Raw genomic sequence first — 18970 nt, 5'->3', positions numbered from 1 at the left:
AAAAGATGGCTTACTTTTGAGAGGCGCTTGTGAGACTAAGACCATGCATGCAAAGAAGGTATTTGGGAAATGGTGGGGAAGAAGAGGAGAGGAAGAACAAGAAATCAAAAGACAAATTCAAGTGGGAAGCCAGCTCCCATGCCTCCCAGGGGTCCCCAACCCCTTCCCAGGCCCTGGGGGTCCCAGGGTGAAGAGAAGTTTCCTGAAGGAGACCCTGGGCAAAGACATCTCCTGCTCCCCAAAGGACCGAGGGTGGGGAAGACATCTCTGGGGAACCATAATTAGCCCAGGCCCCCCTGGGGCCTATTTTAGGCATATCCATGGGCCAAGGGCCCCGGTACTCAGGGGGCAGTCCTGACATCCTTGGGAGGATGGAAAGGCCCTGCCACCCTCCTCTCTGCCAGGTGAGTACCAAGTGGATTAGTGCAAAGGTAAGGCAGGAAGGATGGCCGGGGAGGAGGTTAAAAATAGCATTCTGCAAGGTTCCCTGAGGACTCTCCCTAGCAGTATAATGTCCCAAATAATGTTGCCTTCTACCCCGGCTCTAGGAACCAAATTTGAAAACGGTAGCAGGAATAAGCAGATGACCCCCTAATGATTCCCAGAGCGTCTCCCCTCCAAATCTAAAAAAAAAAAATATGAGCCTCCCTACCTCGCCCAGCCCACCAAGAATGCTTAGCGGGGAAGATATTTAACTAGGGTCTCTCCTGCCTGCCCCGCCTCACCTCACTGGATAATGACTGTCTCTGAGCCATCAGGGCTGTTCATCACGTGAGGACCCTCGCAGATGTTCTCCGGCTCACCACCCCAATATCGCTCCCCGCAGCCCCTGACAAGGAGGTACCGCCTCAACGGGGTCCCGCTCACCTTGGAATTCTTGCCGCCGCTCCGGCCGGACTGGGAGGAGCAGCTGCGCTGCACGCCCTGCTCCGGTGTGGACGGGGACTTGTCCGAGGAGTGATCTGAGCCCTTCTCCACCATGGTGTCTCCGTCCTGGTTCTGCGGGGTTGGCGAGCGAGACCGCTTCCGGAGGATGGGCGAGCAGGCCGGCGTGCTGCGGTTGGAGTTACTGGCAGTGCTGCAGCGGCAGATGGAGAGAGGGAGCGGGGTGGAAAGAGAAGGAGGAGGAAAGGCAGGCAGTCAGTGATCGAGGCCAAGGACAAGCCCAAAGGAGCCAGCTCAGGGAGCCAGGTGAGGGGCTGGGGAGAAACCGGGAGAGAGGGGCCCAGGCTGCGGCTTGCCGCACCGTAATACTGCCGTTGGCCACGGGAGGGCAGCAGTGCCCATGTGGACACAGACGCACGAGCCAACGGGCAATCGACATCTAGACATGCATCCGTCCATCCGTCCGTCCAACCTGTTATTGTTTGAGCCCCTATTATATGCCAAAAATTGTCTGGGGCATATAGAATTTAATACCTGAAAGGCTCACTGGAGACCATCCAATACAATCAGCTCATTTTATACATACTGCAAATGCAAAGCTTCTATATTTTGTTCAGATATTTTTGTTCATGAAAATAACAATTACAATCCTATTTTTCACAGCCTTCACATACGCATTATTTCTTAAAACATTCCACCAAGGGAGTAATGGCAAGTACCATAATCCCTATGTTAAAAAATGAAGACCAGTGCCTGACAGAGGGAAGCTAAATGCCCACTGTTGAGAGAAACAAAGTGCAGCTCTTCTGATTTGTAACTCACCCACACCATATTATTTCCTTGTAAGGAAGCCATGTGGGTTCCTGCTTCCTCTGCCCAGGGTAAAGATGCACACAGCCGAAGTTCTCACATTCCATATTCCCTTACCCCAACATTTATTCCCAATAAGTACCTTGTACTTCCCACAGGACCAAATCCACTTACATCAAGGCTTATAAGCTGCAAATAAAATATTGACTATTTGATATTTCACTTCCGTTTTCAATGGACTAGAAGAAGAGATGAGAGACAGAAGGGAGAGAGAAACTGAATGCAGTTGAATGTTTGCTTTGCTTCCGAGAGTGGAGAAAGGAAAGAGATGGAGAAAGGGAGAGGCTAAGTAGAAAGTGCCAGCAGAAATGGGAAGGAAAGGAAATGTGAGATTGGAAAGCCTGCACGGGGCTGCTGGGGTGTCCTGCCCACCTGCTCAGCAGCCTCTCAGCTGGGTCAGGCTTCAGGAACACCCTGGACCCCCCTGCAGGCTGCATCCCAGCCTTCCCTCGGGGAGTGGGGTGCAGGGCTGGGGACACTGTCATTTGCATGAAGATGCAGCTGTGACCTCAGATGTCCCATTGGCCCCATTTGCAATGAAAACCATGCCCCTTTCAGCAAAACCTTCCACCTGGACATCCTTAGCAGAGAGAAAGGCAACAAATCCCAAGAGCCTAAACCAGCGAGTGTGGGCAGGAGGGGAGCTGGGGGCAGGCAGTGCGGTAACTTTTGGAAGGAAACTGATAAAGAAAAAAAAAGGAGACCAGAGAAAAGGAAGATAAATGTGCCCCAAATATGTATGGAGAAAAGCAAGGCCCAATGTTCCACTTCATCCTAAAACAGAATTTGCATTTAAAATCTCATTTCTAATACTAACAATAATTGTTATTGGGGGAGGCCCAAGATGCCTCTTTCAAAAGAGGCTCTTCCCGTTTTTGCCCCACCCATTCCTTATCCTTACTCTCTAAACTCGTTTGCTACCATAAACTCTGGAGAAAGGAAGGTACCTTCCTTTACTTTGGTTAGAGATGCCAGGCCGTGGGGCTGGTGGCAGGCAGATCCATGAGTGCACAACCCCTGGGGAAGCGTGGAGAGCAGGTGCCAACACACGTCTTTCTGGGGTGAGCCTCCTTGCTCTAGGGCCAACTCAAGCCCGTAACCACATATTCCAAGGTTTAAACTGTCTTCTAGGATTATGTTACTAGAACAACGAGGACCTCTACCCTCTAGTCCCAACTATAATAGTTTGCTCAAAAAATAACTAGAGAAGTTGGGAGTGGTGGCATGAGCTGTAATCCCAGCTACTTGGGAGACTGAGGCAGGAGGATCATTTGAGACCACGAGTTTGAGACCAGCCCGGGCAACATGATGAGATCCTGTCTCAAAAAGAACTAGAAAAAGGATGACAATCAAGTACATGCCTATCTCAGACACAATGGCCCCCCAGCCGTTGTGTAATTTCCTCACAAATTCCAGACCCTGGAATGGAAAGGAGATTCCTTCATCCTTCCCCAAACCCAGAATCCCTGCTAACTGGCTTCAAGCAAGAGGTTGGCAACACACTCTAACCAGAGGAGAACTGACTCCAACTATCCAAAACCACACGAATCTCACATGAAATGATCAAAGCATGAGAACTCCTCACCGCCCAGCAGTCCCACTTTAGCCCACTCTACACACACCATGCAAAGATCTACACACCTAAAATGCTGCCTTCAACACATCAGCCAATAAACAACTTATACCATCTCTCTGTGCTCTTAAGGCTGTTGATCATCTGTGCTGTTCTTGGAAACTTCTCCCTGATGACAAGCACCTCTCTTCTACTCCTCTGCCGGTCTCAACTACTGTCTCAACTCTTGCTACCCAGCCTGCAATTAATCCTTCCCTAAAGGTGAGTCTGTCACCTCCCTGGCCGTCTCCAGCTTTCTCTAACTTCAACCAGGCAGAGACTCCTCTACCTGCTTCCGGCCCTGGTCACAGTCGCTAGCCTGACCCAACAACCTGCTGCCAGGTGGATGCTTCCTCCAGACAATGTCTCATGAGTGCCCCACACTGAACACAGAGCTGGACATCTTTCCTCCCAGACCTCCTCCCACGACTGCCCATTCTCAATGGCAGTTTCATTACCAGGTTTCTCAGGCTGCAGACCCCTCTCTTCCATCTCACTCCACTAAAAAATGAGTCACTGAATTCCACCAATTCTATTTCTACAAAGCTTTTTACCTCATCCTTCCCTTCCTTCCCCAGGGCCCCAGTTCAGGTTCAAGGAATTCTGCTCACCCTCTTCCAATAAATAGCCAGTTGAGTGGTCTTCTCTGCCTCCTTTTCCTCTTCCTACTCACTCACAGCTGTGTCATTAATCTTTCTAAATACAAGCCCAACATCTTACTGTGTTCTAGTAGCTCCCACATTAAAGTCCCAAATCCTCAAAATGGAATCTAAAGTTCTCTGCTAAAAGTAAATGACACCTCTATGCTTTTTCTCTCCTTATATGCTCTTAAAGGGCTTGCATATTCCACACCTATACACTTTCCCCCAATTCCCTTAATATACATGCTCTTTCTCCTGCCTCCAAACTCCCATACGACGCACTACTTGAGCCTAAAGAGCCCTTGCCCTCTGCATCTCCCTGCTGGAGTCCTGCTCTTTCTTCTTTTTTTTTTTTTTTTTAATTCTGTTCATTCTTCAAGACCCATTTCAAATCCCACTTGCTCCAAAAAGCTTTTCTAAATCTCCACCTTGGAGCTGACTAAAGCACTGAAAGCACATAGCCTGGTATGAAGGACCTACAAACTCCTGGAGGCTCAGCCCTCTGCACGCCCCACACGACCCAGCAGGGCTCTGTAAGTGGCATGTTTTCCGCTGAACTGAATCCCATCCTAGTGACAGTCTTCATACCCTTGGCTTTACCAATTCCGAATATCAAGATGGCTCCCAAATCTGTACCTACAACCTGCTAATATTCATAAAAATAACTAAACATTATTGAGTGTTCATGAGCTCCTGGTGCAGCACCGAGTACTTATTAAATATTATTTCGTTTAATCCCCCCAACAAACCCATGAAGTTGCAAAGAACAGTATTATTAGTCCCATTTTTCAGGTGATATATTTGGATTCTTGACAGATTAAATAATTCACCCAAAGTCACACAGATGGATGGGAGGCAGGGCAAGATTTCAAACTTTCAAACACAGGCCTATCTGATTGTCAAGCTCATTTTCGGAAGCAGGCATTCAATTGTGTTTGTTTGCCCGGTGGACAGAAAGAGGCACAGATGGAAAGACAGTGGGTAGCTGGGTGAGTACAAAGAAAGAAGGAATCAACTTCCTGCCTCCAGGCTTCAATCCATTCTCTCTTTTCCTGTCAAAGTGAACTTTCTAAAAAGAGGATTTGGCATTTTTTTCATCCTTTTTGATGATTAAAGACCCCTATAATTTCCCACCCTCTGTGGAATAAAACCTGAACTCTAGACTATATGTTCCTCAATTATCTCACTCAGCCTACCTCTGAAAACCCCAACACTGGCTACATTTCCAGTGCACCTCTGCCTCAGCCATCGGGGTCTAACTGAGCTCCTGCCCCAGCCATCAGGGCCTACCTGCGCCCCTGCCCCAGCCATCGGGCCCTACCTGCGCCCCTGCCCCAGCCATCGGGGCCTACCTGCGCCCCTGCCCCAGCCATCGGGGCCTACCTGCGCCTCTGCCCCAGCCATCGGGGCCTACCTGGGCCTCTGCCCCAGCCATCGGGGCCTATCTGCGCCTCTGCCTCAGCTATCGGGGTCTACCTGCGCCCCTGCCCCAGCCATCGGGGCCTCTTTGTGCCTCTGCCTCAGCCATCGGGGTCTACCTGCGCCCCTGTCCCAGCCATCGGGGCCTACCTGTGCCCCTGCCCCAGCCATCGGGGCCTACCTGCGCCCCTGCCCCAGCCATCGGGGCCTACCTGCGCCTCTGCCCCAGCCATCGGGGCCTACCTGCGCCTCTGCCTCAGCCATTGGGGTCTGTCTGCAGATCCTTTTGCCATACACACTCACTCTTCCATGTCTCAGCAATCTCTCTCTCTCTCTCTCTCTCCCTCCAATTACCTGATGGACATCTACACTTCCAGACTAAGCCCACATATACCCCTTACATGTCCCCACCCGGTGCTCTACCTCCACTCTGATCCTTCTCTACAAAAGAAGAAATGTTTGCAGTTCTAGTTCTAACTCAGCAAAGTCAGCACTAAACTTGCTAGAGTCCTGAAACTCTTACCAGTTAACCCATTATCCCATGGATTTGGATGTCCTGCTGAGCAAACAAAACCAATTCCTGAGTATCTTCTAACACCTAACATGCATAACATAACATAAAGTTTCAAACCAACTTTATAATGTGCCATTCATCTGACCCTGCCACTATTATTAATAACAGGATTGCATTATATTTCAAAATCTTGGGATTTAAGAGCTAAAAATAAAAAAGACCTTACATATGCTGTAGGGATGGAAGGAAGACTGGTGTTAGATGGGCTATGGGACTAAGACTCCCTCCCAGAGTTTAGAGTTAGTATATTCAGCTCTCAACTTCACATGTAAGAAACCTGAGTCTAGGGGGGTTAAGTACCTAGACAAGGTGATATGACTTTGGATCTGGCTCTTCAGTTCCACAAATATTTCCTGACCACCTGGCATATGTGAGGCATTCAAGTTCATTTTGGTGAATGAGAAAGGATCTGTGTGCTTGGGACATTTCCAGTCAGGAAGAGCTAGAGGCCTATTCTTCCCGTGTTAATATAATCAGTAGGTGGGATGATAGAAGAGAATAAAGGAAAACAAGAAATGCTGCCTTGAGGATGTGGCACTTGAGCTAGATTCAGAAAATGTGTTGGAGTTAGCCAGGTGAAGGGTACGGGGTTCAAGGAGGGCACGGTAGGAGAGAAGAGAATGTTCGGGGTGGCGGACAGCATGAACAAGGGTGAAAAGGCATAAAATAGCATGGGATATATGGAACATTGACAGAAACCATGAGTCACCAGGTATAACATGCTCAAGCTGATGTTTTAGAGATTCCTGAAATCATCAGCTCTCATTCATAATAGGTCTTCTAAGACCCCCACCAGCCACCTTTAAGCCATGGCAGGGGACCCGGAGGTCATTCATTCATTTCCCCATTTCCCCTCTTTTTAAGACCTGCAACACAGACTATTATTGCTCTCCTCCCCTGGTTACCTTGCTAGCAAACAGTGCTCCCTGAAGTCTGATCACAGTATCTCATGCTACCTATGGTTTGATCCTACCTCCTATAGTTAGGTCTAGCTGATGTCCTTGAGAAAAGGGAAGTAGAAAAAGAGGATGAGGACTCTCTTCAGGCTTTCTTCAGTGACTCTCTGCGGCATCCCTGCCCCCACCCTCACCCCCCACGCCCACTGCAGACACGGTGGCCGCTACACCACTTTGCTTGGCTTTCTTCCTCATCCTTATCCCCACTGTGGTCCTGCAGGCACAAGGCAGACCTTGTCAGCAAGCCAGCTCCCTGATCAGCTACCCGTGCATTTTTCAGAATCCTGAGTAGAGCAGAATAGTTAGTTGGTGTTCCGGTGTTCATCACTTGAGTTAACTTGTTTGCCTTCAGAGAAAATCATTTCTGCCCCAGATATTGCAAAATATGTACCTGTCTCTCTGGCCCCCGGTGCCTCCACCTGCTTGGACTGCAGCTGCTCCTTCCTGCTTCCCTCTGCAGTGCGCCTGGCTGCCCCAGCCCTGGCGCATTCCCAGTCAGACTGTCAGCCCCCCTCCCCACACCTGGACACTGCAATGAAGTGTTGACTTCGTTGTTTCTTCTAAGCCCAGCCCTACAGTGACCTAGATGATCAAATGTATGGCTGTAATCATCTCAGTGCCAGGAGCACTGGTAATGAGAGATACAAACACCTATCTCATAGGACTACTGTGTTAAATGAAATAACCTAAGTAAAATATTTAGCACAGTGCTTGGTACGCTCCATAAATATTTTTGAGCTGCTGGTATTATTAAGAAGGCTCTTGGCTGGGTGCCGTGGCTCACACCTGTAATCCCAGAATTTTGGGAGGCTGAGGCAGGCAGATCACTTGAGATCAGGAGTTTGAGACCAGCCTGACCAACATGGTGAAACACCATCTCTACTGAAAATACAAAAATAAGCTGGGCGTGGTGGTGCACACCTGTAATCCCAGCTACTCAGGAGGCTTAGGCAAGACAATCAGTTGAACCCAGGAGGTGGAGGTTTCAGGGAGTTGAGATTGTGCTACTGCACTCTAGCCTGGGTGACACAGCAAGACTCCATCTCAAAAAAAAAAAAAAAAAAAAGAAAAGAAAAAAAATAAAGACTCTTGTTCCTCTCTGTAAAATGTGGAGTAAATATCTTTGTCCACTTTCCTCAGAGGTGTTGATGCTCCCAAGTCTCACTTCCCACAGTAGGAACCAGGAACACAAAGGATGCTTCCTTAACGTGCAGAATCCCAGCCTTAACCTGATACCACCCCCACCAATAAATGAAAATTTCCAGTGGATGGCCTCAGGAATCTGCATTTCAAAATAAGTATCACGGCTGATTCTGAAGCACTCTGAAGTTTGAGAACCACTACGCTCCCAAGAAACTATCTCTTAAGTATCAAGGAGTGAGTGACATATCTGCCAAAAGTGACAGAGACCTGTTTACAACTCCGGGTATAACAGCTGTGCAGTGTCCACCAGGTAGGTGGACCTGCTGGAATAGTAAAATCATTTGAGCTTGTCATAGGAATTGCTAATGTGGAAGAATCTGACATGGAGACGATCAGGTGTAGGCAGAACCCGATGGGACATCATCTTTTGATGTAGGAGCCTAACAATTACCATTGGCGCGAAGGCCCACAGCCATATCACAAGCACCTCCTCTGTCCTTGCCATTTGTAGCATGGGGTAAACGCTGATGACTAGTCCCTAATTCCTAAGAGAAGACTACCCTGTTATCCAGTTACACACGTCCTATCCTCATGCTGATTCCAAAGTTTCATTAATAATCTTTCTCAGTTCTTTATAATGCCACTGCAAATATCCATACAAATTAGCCAACTCCCCTTCGAATTTTCCCATAGCACACGCTCAAGTGGCTGAGAGAGGAGAGCCACAGGTGTATTTGTATAACATTTGCATGAAATTTACATGCTGCCTGCAAATGCCTCCATTTGCAGGTCTGCCCCACTAAACCAGTTCCAAATTCAGAGTCTACGAGGACTCCATGAAGATGGTTATTCTTTCTGTACTATCACTAGTCACTTGCTAGAGTCTACATTCTGTGCCCATGTCACGGCAGGTGGGAAGGGCAGACCCAACCAGAACCTTGTAGAGGGGAGTGAAAAGCCCAAATCACAAATACCAGCAGGGCCCCCAATTCCCCTTGGATCCTCCTCCTTAGATAGCAAACTACCAAGTCACTAGTAGTGACCTGGTAAGGCTTGCTTCACTCCTTGTCATAACCCCCTGAAGTTCCTGGTCTCAGCTCCTTTTACTCATGAAAATAAACCCACAGTCCCAAGTTCCCAGAAGATTTGACTGGTTCAGAGAAAGAGCTGAAAGGGCCTTTCAGGTCCAACCCTCTCACTGCTATGAATATAAAAAGGTCCAGAGAGATGACACGACTGTCCACCAAGGAGTTAACAGACAGCAGGATGGTTCTTCCCCTTCACAGCTCAGACTCAGATGCCCAACAGTGCCAATCTCAGTGCCTCCCCTTCCCCACACACACACTTTTCAGGATGCTGGATGGGACTGGGGTTCAAAAGGATAAGACCTGCACTGTTCTAAGAGAAGCTCCCTGTGACCACGCATGGAACCTGCTCTCTGTGTGCCTATCGCTGGCATCTAAGCCTGGTGATAACTGCCACCGGGTCCAGTTCCCTTTCTAGGGGAGAAAATCAAGCTGTGATTACCTGTTTGAAAGAAGGGACCAGAACAGCTTTGAGAAGAGTTGCTTTTTTTTCCCTACAGCATAGAAGTTCTCTTCCCAAACTTACACTAAAGCAGAGTCTCAGCCTGGTCCAGGCGTGCCACACTTCGGCCTAGATTTAGCAGGAGGTTGCATTTCAGCAAGGGACAGAAAGGGAAAGGGCTCCCAAGCTAACGCCTTTCTTCCCTGTCACAGTTCCTACAAATGCCATCTGCAGATCTGACACAGAATGGGCCTTCCCTACCCGCTGCAAGGGCAACATCTTGACAGAAATGAACCTCTTGTCCCCTCTCCTCCGTTTGGGAAAATTGTGGAGATTCCTGGAGGCCTTTCCAAATGGGGATCTTGGGTGAAGTGTACAAGGTGTTCAGGGACAGGATCTGCCCAAAATTTGGACCAAAGGTGGAACTGGACTGTTGCCGGGTTCAGACCACTGGTAGAGACACCTTACAAATGGAAGCCTGACAATTCTCCAGGCTCATGAACCAGCTACTGTGGGCCATCCGAACATTCACTCAGCGTCCACACGGCCCATGCCCCTACCTCCTTCTGCACTCCGCCCCTCACATGCCCTATCTCTGTAAATACTGTGTAGATAATTCAGGGCACTTCCTATGGGCAACAAGCCCCACTTACTGATTCCTCCTTCCCTGTCTTGTATAAATATTTCAGTTAAAAAAAAAACCCAAAACTTTAAAAAATTTTTACAAAGAAATTTAAAGATGGGACAGCCCATCCAAAACATTTGCAGCCAGCTGACTAATTTAATACCTAGAAATAGTCTCATTAGGGATCTCCTCAAGCCTGGAAGGAATTACTTGGTACAAGGGAAAGTCTGAGCACTGACTTTGGTTGTTGATGAATTTATTAATTGACTAATTAACATAAGGGCAAAGTTCACGGAAAGTTTTTGGCGAAGTAGAGAAAAGTAGCACTTCAGTTACCCTTCCAGTGGTGTTCTCAGTCCAGAGAGGTGATAGGAAGAGCTGGACCTGGGCAAAGGTTGTTTGCCTTTCCTGCTCAGGCAAGGAGAAGAGGTCCTTCATCACCATGGCTGGAGTCTCCATCCATCCCACTCCCCCCTGCTGCCTGGCTTTCCTGCAGCTTCTGTTCAGTCCAGAGTTTGGAATTCAATCCAGGAACAGGCATGACAAACACTATTTTTCATTTCCATGGAGACAAGGCCCTGCAATAGAACCAGGACTCCATGCCCGAAATGACAAAACAGCCTGACCCACTTTTCCCCCTTCCTACAAAAACAAAATAAGTTTGTTTGGGTCCTGCCAGAGCCAAGGAGAAAAAAGCAAGAGTTCCTGTTATCTCAAAGGATATTTCAAAGAGGAACAAATTATAACCATCTTTGAAAACACTGATAATGCTACAGAACCAGTGTCAGAAATCAGACATAAATCACTTTACCCAAAGGGCTCATCTGCAGTAAATCCATCTGCTTCCTCCTCCGAAGCTGCTGGGGAAAAGGTTCATATCCCCTAAGAGAAGGATTTAATGACCAGCTATCCAACTTCTTATAGAATCCAACTATTTCCTCAACTTCTCTTGCACCATTTCCTCCCTCATTTTATTCTAGCCTCCCTGGACCTTTCTCTTTCTTGAACAAACCCAGTTCACCTAGGATATTGGCACTTGTTGGTCCCACCGCCTGGAACTCTTACTCTAACATTTTGAATGCTGGTTCCTTTTCAGCCTTCAGATCAAAGCTCAAATGTCACCTCCTCAGAGCAGACTTTCTTGAAGGGCCACTCCATATAAAGTGGCCTTCCTAACCCCAGGCAATCATTACCACGTGGCCCTGTTTCTTTTCACTGCCCTTATAGGAGCGGAAATTGTCTTGTTTTCTTGTTGTTGTTTTTTCCTTGCTTACCACCAGGCTGAGCACTCCATGGGGGCTGGGGCCACGTCTATGTGTGCTTCCCCAGTACCTCCAGCAAAATGACTGGCACATACTGGGGTTGCAGATATATAGTCCATGAATTTTAAAAAGTGGGATCTTCTTTCCTTTTTTTTTTTTGCTTTTGAGATGGAGTCTCGCTCTGTCTCCCAGGCTAGAGTGCAGTGGCACGATCTCGGCTCACTGCAAGCTCCGCTTCCTGAGTTCACACCATTCTCCTGCCTCAGCCTCCCGAATAGCTGGGACTACAGGCGCCCGCCACCACGCGTGGCTAATTTTTTGTATTTTTAGTAGAGACGGGGTTTCACCATGTTAGCCAGGATGGTCTCGATCTCCTGACCTCGTGATCTGCCCGCCTCGGCCTCCCAAAGTGCTGGGATTACAGGCGTGAGCCACCGCGCTCGGCCAAAAAGTGGGATCTTCTTAAAGCCATTCATTCCATCGTCCAGCCACTCTGATAGACATGTCTTTCTAAAGCTGGCCCCAAATCTGCCTTTTTAAAAAGGCCAGCCTTTAAGTCCTTTTTCTAGCTCTTGGGTCCATGAAAACTAAAATATGACATCACTTCCAGACTCTCTGCTAGCCTTATCACTCTGTCTAGACATCAGGGTACCTGATTTTAAAATCCTGAGCTGATTGGTGCCCTTGAGAAAATCACTTTTTCTTTCTGTGCACCTGTGTTTTTAGTCTGTTGCACGATCACAACCTATTTTCCTGGAGTGAGAATCCTTTAAAGAATAAACCTAATTAGACCATGCATCCCAAAAGTAAAGAGCTTCCTATAATTGCTCATGGAGTGAAACAGGATTAGCAGTGGAATGTGAATTCCCAGTTAAGAAACTGAATCCTGTTCCTAAATTCAGTCCTTTCCACATGGCAAAGACACGGGATGAGAGTACAGATTGTGGCTAGGCATATATTCAGCTAGTTCCTACATCCACAGGGCTGGGACAATAAAGACTTAAGATAAAGCAGAAGATACTAAAATCAAACATAAGAACTTACTGGTGTTGTATAATTTCCTTTTCCTGAGATTGTTCACAACAGAACAAACGCCTAACATTTAGGGGACAGTCCTGCTGGGTTCACAGGCTGGGTGTTGGCTGAGCTGATCTACAATAGTCTGTAGTTTGGAAGGAGCGCATAGTGGTCATGTAATCCATCCTCCCACTGGGTGCAGGGCTCCCTCTGCAATGGCCCTGACAACAGCCATCAGGCCTCTGCTTCAGATCTCCACTGACAGAGCTCCCACTGGCCAGCTGCTTACATGTTAATGGCACTCTTACGTGCCACAGTCCTCATTCCTCCATGAGTCTCAGCGATCATTATCTGTCCAAACCTCTTTGATTTTAATAGTCTTTAGAAATTAACCTAACCTTGCTGATTCAATGTCATTAAGCAAGAATCTTTGGAGCACCTCTAACTTTGTATTACATACTCATCCTGAGGGCCCAATAGGACAGCAACAGTGTCATGGTTGTTTGTATCCACATGATATTAAATGTGATATTGGGCACACAGTAAGAACTTAATACTTTTAAAATTGCCTCTATGGCCAGTTGCAGTGGCTCATGCCTGTAATCCCAGCACTTCGGGAGGCCGAGGTGGGAAGATTGCTTGAGGCCAGGACTTTGAGGCCAGGCTGGGCAACATAGCAAGACCTCATCCCTAAAAAAAAAAAAAAAAAAAGAATTAGCCAGGCGTGCTGGCAGATGCCTGTAGTCCCAGCTGTTCAGGGGTTGGGGCAGGAAGATCACCTGAGACCAGGAATTCGAGGTTGCAGTAAGCTATGGTCACACCACTACACTTCAGCCTAGTCAACAGAGTGAGATCCTTTCTCAAAATAAAATAAAATATGAAATTACATTAATAAAAGTATATAATAAACTTGCCTCTAACAATCTCAGTCAACTCTTAAGTACAATCCCACCCAAAGTATTTCAGAAGCCTAAATGTTCAAGGGAATAGAACCTTGTGAAAGCAGAAAGGCGCTAAACTCTCCCAGGAAGCCCCTTCCTCAAAAGAGATTTCCAATCCACTGGGAGGCAAAGACCACTGGAACAAGGCAAGGAGTTCAACTGAATAGAACTTCCAGCTTCTCCTGTGTTTGCTCATCAAGGACCCCTCCCCCATCCTCAGCAAGAGAAATGCTGCTACTAAAACCAAAAGGAATTCCTGCAGGATCCATCCATCCACCCATCAAACAGTTGGTGAGGACCATGTTCTATGCCCATGCCAGGTAAAGGTTTAGGCATTGGGGATACTGTCCCTGACTCTAAGAAACTCACAGTCTGATGGGAGAGACAGACATGTAATGAACTAACACCTTACAGTATCTCCCATCACCGCTCGTCAAGGGAGACAGGTCAGGAAACTGAGGAATAGCCCCCAGGAGTTAGGTGGCCTTCCTGACTCAGGCCTTCCTCATGTCTGATCTGGGGACAAACTACTCCTCTCTGAGCTTCCGCTTTTATTATGCAAGAACTAGAGTGGATGCTGTCTAACCCCCATGAGGACATGGAGGAGGATGACAAAGAACATATAAAGAATACACTATGAAGTACTGAGAGCAGTAGCATCTCTGAGACAGAAGGATTCAGATCTAAATTAGGCAAAGCATCCAGAAACAAAATCCAGGCAGTCTGGGCCCACAGTTAACTCAGCATCACCAGCCTTTTCTCTGGCCAGGGACACATCACCTCAGTGCCAGAGGTTGCTATGGTACTGTCAGGTCAATGTTCCTCAAGAGGCAGTCAGACTAAGGCTGTGCAGGTGGGGGAGAAGTTGTGACACGCCACATGTCCTGCCCCTCATATCGCTCCTCCCCTGACCTCACTGGCCTACCAGGATGGCTGCCTGACCGCTGGGATTCAAACCTGGTTCTGATTTATTTTCCTGCTATAACTCAAATCGAAGCATACCGAAGAATGACCACATGTTAAAGTCAGAAATTTTAGAATAGAGAAAACTGTAAGAGGTCGGTCCCGCTGCTGGCTTCAATCAGATGCCCGTCAACCAAGAGAGGCTTTAGTCTAATTTAAAATACATTCAGGGTACGAAATCCCAGGGCTTTCCCTTGCCACCCTTCTCATTGTCTCCTGCTATCATCAGGAAGTTATTTATGATTTTAAAAAGAAAAAGCCCAGCCTGGGCAATATAGTAAGAGTTGGTCTCTACTATACTTTTAAGAAAATTAAAAAATGTTCTTAAAATTAGCCAGGTGTGGTGGTTCACACTGTGTAATCCCAGCTACTTGGGAGGCTGAGGTGGGAGGATTGCTTGAGCCCTGGAGACAGAGGTTGCAGTGAGCCGACATCATGCCACTGCACTCCAGCATGGGTGACAGAGTGAGGCCTTGCCTCAAAAAAAAGAAAAAAAAAAAAAAGAAAAAACCCTCTGTTATATTGCACTTAATCCCATTTTCTTTTATTCCAGCTATCCTGGACTGCAGGTCAGTTCATCAGTTATAATCCCTCCCTCTGTTCCTATCCTCCTTTCTTTGAGTGAAACAATTCTACTTCCTTAAACCTATTCTCTGAAGTTAAAAATCACTTCTCCTACAACATCCCCACCCAATCTTTACCTCTCAAGGGCCAGTCACTAATTGATGTGTAACTCATTGCACCTTGGGACAGCTCTGATAGTTTTTATTTTAAGCTCAAACTGTTTCCTGTGGCTTCCTACCAGAGGTCCTATCCTACTCCCTTGTGAGCCATAGAACAAATCTAATTTCTCCTCCACGTGACATTTTCACGTGGCTCTCATGCCTTCTCGGCACCTGCTGGACTCTCACATTAACATGGCGATGGCTCCCTCAGCCAGCGACTGGGCTCCTTCTCCTCTGAACGGAGTCCGGGTGATCTCAACTTTCTTAACTGTGAAGCCCAGACAGAGTTGTAATACTGCAGAGAAGTGGCCTGAGCCGCTCAGAATAGAGCAGAATCATCACTTCACCTGCTTTGGGAATCACAATGCAAACATATATTTTCAGTCATTTTCTGAATCAAAAGAATCAAGAAATTGCTCACTGTTCCTTTAGGAGTCTCTGGGTATAGTGCTTCAACCTTCTCCTGTAGGCTAAGTGGGGGTGCATATCCCTCCAAGAAGCAAACACCCCCACCACTTCCCCCAATGAGACAAATCCAAGTTTCGGCAGAAGGATGAACAATTTTACCCCAACTCAGGTTACACTAAAATTCTGAGTGTTTATATGAGGATCTCTAGGCCAGATGCAAAACTACAGACCTTAAGAGTCTGTTATCTGGACGCAAGAATAGTGTTTGCATTTTTAAGTGGCTGAAAAACATCTGGAGAATATTTTGTGACATGTGAAAATCATAGGAAATCCACATTTCAGAGTCCATAAATAAAGTTTTATTGGGAACACAGCCATGCTCGTTCGTTCATAAATTGTCCACGACTGCTTCTACTGTGCAAAGCAGAATTGAGTAGCTGAGACAGCCCGGCCCACAAGGCCTCCAGTATTGACTGTCTGGCCCTGTACCAAAACAGTCTGCTGGCCTCTGGTCTAAACAGAAAAGACCTTGAAAAGGTCAAGGGGAGGGTGCCTGCGTCCCAACCATTGGGAGAAAGGGCTGCAGGCTTGCTCCTGTCAGCAGAAGAAATTTGTAGGGCCAGAAAAGAGAGAAGCAGGGAGGGGGTGTGGGAGGTGTTTAGTCTTAGGCTTTTAAAAAAATTATTATTAAATAGAGGCAGGGTCTCGCGATGTTGCCCAGGCTGGTCTTGAACTCCTAGGCTCAAGCGATCCTCCCACCTCAGATCCCGAAGTGCTGGGATTACAGGCATGAGCCAGCACACCCAGCCAGGAGTTTTTCTTCTAGGTGATGACAGCTTTTATTCCTTCATTCTTTCCACAAGTGATTGTTTTGCAGTTGCTTAAATGCCTACAGAGGTAACCGGACTAGCTGATTCTCCACTCCCTACCCACCCCCAATCCTCACGGGGCACTACTTTTTAATCATGGCCTTGACATTATCAATCTCCTGCTCCGGGTGGCTCCCAAAATCATCCCTTTCCCTTACCCTTCTTCCAAGGCCAGCTTTTTTCATCTTGGTTCCAAACTTCTCTAACCTGCCGAGTGCTATCCAAGGCAAAGGCTAGAAATATGACCACCATTCAAGGTCAGCTGCAGAGGGAGGAGAGGCAGGAGGTAGAGGAGCGAGGGGGTCTCCCCGGAGCACAGTGTGCTAGCAAGTACCAGAGAAGAGGCAAAGATGGCTTTCTCTAGCCCTGCCTGAGCTCTTGGCTGAGGCCCCGGGGACAGAGCAAGCTCCAAGTCCTCCCCCAGCCCTCTACTTCCTAAATCAAGCAAATAACTAACAATGCAAGGAGGTGTGGGGGAGTAAGGCCCAGCCACTGGGTAGCTATTTTCTCAAAATACATGGCAAATCTCTGCGCCAAATGCTGGCTAAGCCAAAGAATAAACAAATCCTTTTATTTCTCTGAGATGAGAGCTATCAACTTCCCCTTTCATCCTCTCCTTCTGCTGGCCAGATCCATCTGTCCCATGGCCCTCTCCCTGTGGGATAAGCAGTGTCTGTCCATATCTTCCTGACCACAGCTCTGGCCAGCTCCTACCCCCGCCGGAGGCACTGCGGAGGGAAGCCAGCAGGTGGAGAACAGGAGCACATGGCCTGTCCACACCTCCCCCAGAAGCTCTCAGCCAGTTCTCCATGATGCATTGTGCCACTAATTCATTCCTCTGCCCTCCTTTCTCCAAGTTAGAGGGCACTGAATTAAGTCTTGCTGGACAAGGAGACCATCATCACCCTCAACCCAGCCTGTCTCTCCAGCCCACCCCAGGGCCACCCCTCCGTGATCCAGAGCTCAGCTCAAGCAGTGCTACTATAGAGGAGAAAAGAAAAGGCTAGGGAGGGAAAAGAAGGTGGCATCTCTGCAGCATGATGTCACACTGGCTGCTTTCGGATCCCCAGAACAGAAAACAGAAGCAAACAACATGGACTCCGGATTTACTCTGCCTTGAAAGGTTTGTGTTCTTGGCAGCTCTGAGCAGCCTGCGTCAGATGAGAAAAGCACACAACCAGAAAGACAGGTCTTCACCACAGCCCCCAGGGCCCCATTCTGACCCCAGGACAGAGCCACCGCTTCCAAAAAATCCCACGAGGAAACAAAGATACACACACACACACACACACACACACACACACACACACACACACACACACACGCACCAGGCGTCAGCACGAGTTAGCACTAACCTGGAAGCCATTAGGTAGGAACAGTAGCAGAGTGCAGTGCAGAGAGGAACTCATTCATTCATGCATTGGGCAGTGGGGGGCGGGGGCGGGGAGCGGGGGCCCTGAGGAGGCTGGAGGGCACTCACCTCCATGACCATCCCAAAGCCCTGTTTCTAACGGGGGAGGGGACTCGGGCCAGGGCTCTCAGAAGCTGGGGGCGCTTCTTTGCTCTGCTGTTTCACACCGCTGTAGCATTTTAAGCATGACTCCCCTTTATTTCCCTCTCCCCCACCTCCCTCTGCTGCTGTTATTTGGTGTGGTCGTGCCGCCTTACAGAAGTCCCTCTCTCTCTCTGCCTGGCTCCCTTTCTCTCTCTCCCTCTGACTCCCTCACAGACAGCTGTTCTGAGCTCAGGCACGCACGCGCACAGGCGCACAGACACACTCAGACACGCACCCCTCTTGCGCGCAGACACGCACACGCGCACACACGCACACACGTCGCCTGCCGGTTTACATAATGCAACTCTTTGGTGCAGTCAGCTTGCCGGCGCTCAATTATTCATGCCAGCGTGGAGGACAGAGCCGCTGGGGCTGCGGGGGGGGGGGTTATTTCCTCTTCACCCTCAATCCGACAAAATACAAGACCATGTTCCCCGGAGACTCTGCTCCCTTCGCTGCCACCAATTATTTCCCAGGTGCTGCCCACTAGGTCGACCTGTATCAAGGAGGTGACACTAAATAAAAACACAGGTGCCTGGCTCTAAAGAGAGTCGTGCATCCTTCAAAGGATGGCGGCTCTCTCACGGCCCGAGGCCTGGGAGTAGAGGAAGAGAGGAGGCCAGCACTGAGACCATAATCCGCAAGAAAAGATGGCCGAGGGCCTCTTCAGTGTAGCTGCTCCCAGACTTCCAGGATGCTCGCTTCTCCCGCAGGTCAGGCTCTCACAGACAGCAAGAGTAACACTCAGGGAAAGCACTTACATTCGTGGCAAAGCAGAGTCGTCTGGGTCTTCTAATTCTAAGCTGCACCTCTTAGAAGTGTTTTTTTTTTCTCTGTCCATTCACCGAAATGCAGTATTAGTACTCAGACAGCCCCCAGAGGAAAGTTCTGGCAGTGCGAGGTATTCTATTCAGCAACGATATTAATAATATTTTGAAAGTCATTCATGACTTACAAAGCATTTTGCCTACATTCAAT

General features: G+C 48.2%; 1 protein-coding gene across 40 annotated transcripts in view, besides 6 other annotated features; it reads right to left on the bottom strand.

Annotated features, from left to right (window-relative positions):
* Nucleotides 1–18970, bottom strand: part of GRAMD1B (GRAM domain containing 1B) — a 269346-nt gene that overhangs the window by 49323 nt on the left and 201053 nt on the right. For 35 of the 40 annotated variants that reach the window (NM_001367421.2, NM_001367420.2, NM_001367419.2 and 32 more), the window contains one exon: nucleotides 868–1078. In NM_001367421.2, coding sequence (NP_001354350.1) covers nucleotides 868–1078 — 211 coding nt within the window. Of the gene's footprint in view, nucleotides 1–14; nucleotides 36–867; nucleotides 1079–17792; nucleotides 18184–18970 lie in introns of those variants that run through there. The other 5 variants (NM_001286564.3, NM_001387035.1, NM_001387031.1 and 2 more) reach the window with 3 other exon arrangements.
* Nucleotides 529–1066: an enhancer, noted in NCBI's record as "H3K4me1 hESC enhancer chr11:123448087-123448624 (GRCh37/hg19 assembly coordinates)". NCBI's record gives its function as "activates a minimal SCP1, AML or CMV promoter by ChIP-STARR-seq in naive H9 embryonic stem cells {active_cell/tissue: H9 hESC(naive)}" and the evidence as "EXISTENCE:reporter gene assay evidence [ECO:0000049][PMID:30033119]".
* Nucleotides 1665–2164: an enhancer, noted in NCBI's record as "H3K4me1 hESC enhancer chr11:123446989-123447488 (GRCh37/hg19 assembly coordinates)". NCBI's record gives its function as "activates a minimal SCP1, AML or CMV promoter by ChIP-STARR-seq in naive H9 embryonic stem cells {active_cell/tissue: H9 hESC(naive)}" and the evidence as "EXISTENCE:reporter gene assay evidence [ECO:0000049][PMID:30033119]".
* Nucleotides 2165–2666: an enhancer, noted in NCBI's record as "H3K4me1 hESC enhancer chr11:123446487-123446988 (GRCh37/hg19 assembly coordinates)". NCBI's record gives its function as "activates a minimal SCP1, AML or CMV promoter by ChIP-STARR-seq in naive H9 embryonic stem cells {active_cell/tissue: H9 hESC(naive)}" and the evidence as "EXISTENCE:reporter gene assay evidence [ECO:0000049][PMID:30033119]".
* Nucleotides 16971–17634: an enhancer, noted in NCBI's record as "H3K27ac-H3K4me1 hESC enhancer chr11:123431519-123432182 (GRCh37/hg19 assembly coordinates)". NCBI's record gives its function as "activates a minimal SCP1, AML or CMV promoter by ChIP-STARR-seq in primed H9 embryonic stem cells {active_cell/tissue: H9 hESC(primed)}" and the evidence as "EXISTENCE:reporter gene assay evidence [ECO:0000049][PMID:30033119]".
* Nucleotides 17635–18297: an enhancer, noted in NCBI's record as "H3K27ac-H3K4me1 hESC enhancer chr11:123430856-123431518 (GRCh37/hg19 assembly coordinates)". NCBI's record gives its function as "activates a minimal SCP1, AML or CMV promoter by ChIP-STARR-seq in primed H9 embryonic stem cells {active_cell/tissue: H9 hESC(primed)}" and the evidence as "EXISTENCE:reporter gene assay evidence [ECO:0000049][PMID:30033119]".
* Nucleotides 18298–18961: an enhancer, noted in NCBI's record as "H3K27ac-H3K4me1 hESC enhancer chr11:123430192-123430855 (GRCh37/hg19 assembly coordinates)". NCBI's record gives its function as "activates a minimal SCP1, AML or CMV promoter by ChIP-STARR-seq in naive H9 embryonic stem cells {active_cell/tissue: H9 hESC(naive)}" and the evidence as "EXISTENCE:reporter gene assay evidence [ECO:0000049][PMID:30033119]".

This window comes from Homo sapiens, chromosome 11 (assembly GCF_000001405.40).
Source record: "Homo sapiens chromosome 11, GRCh38.p14 Primary Assembly".
NCBI classification, from domain to species: Eukaryota; Metazoa; Chordata; class Mammalia; order Primates; family Hominidae; genus Homo; species Homo sapiens.
This window is presented reverse-complemented; position numbering and strand designations above follow the sequence as displayed.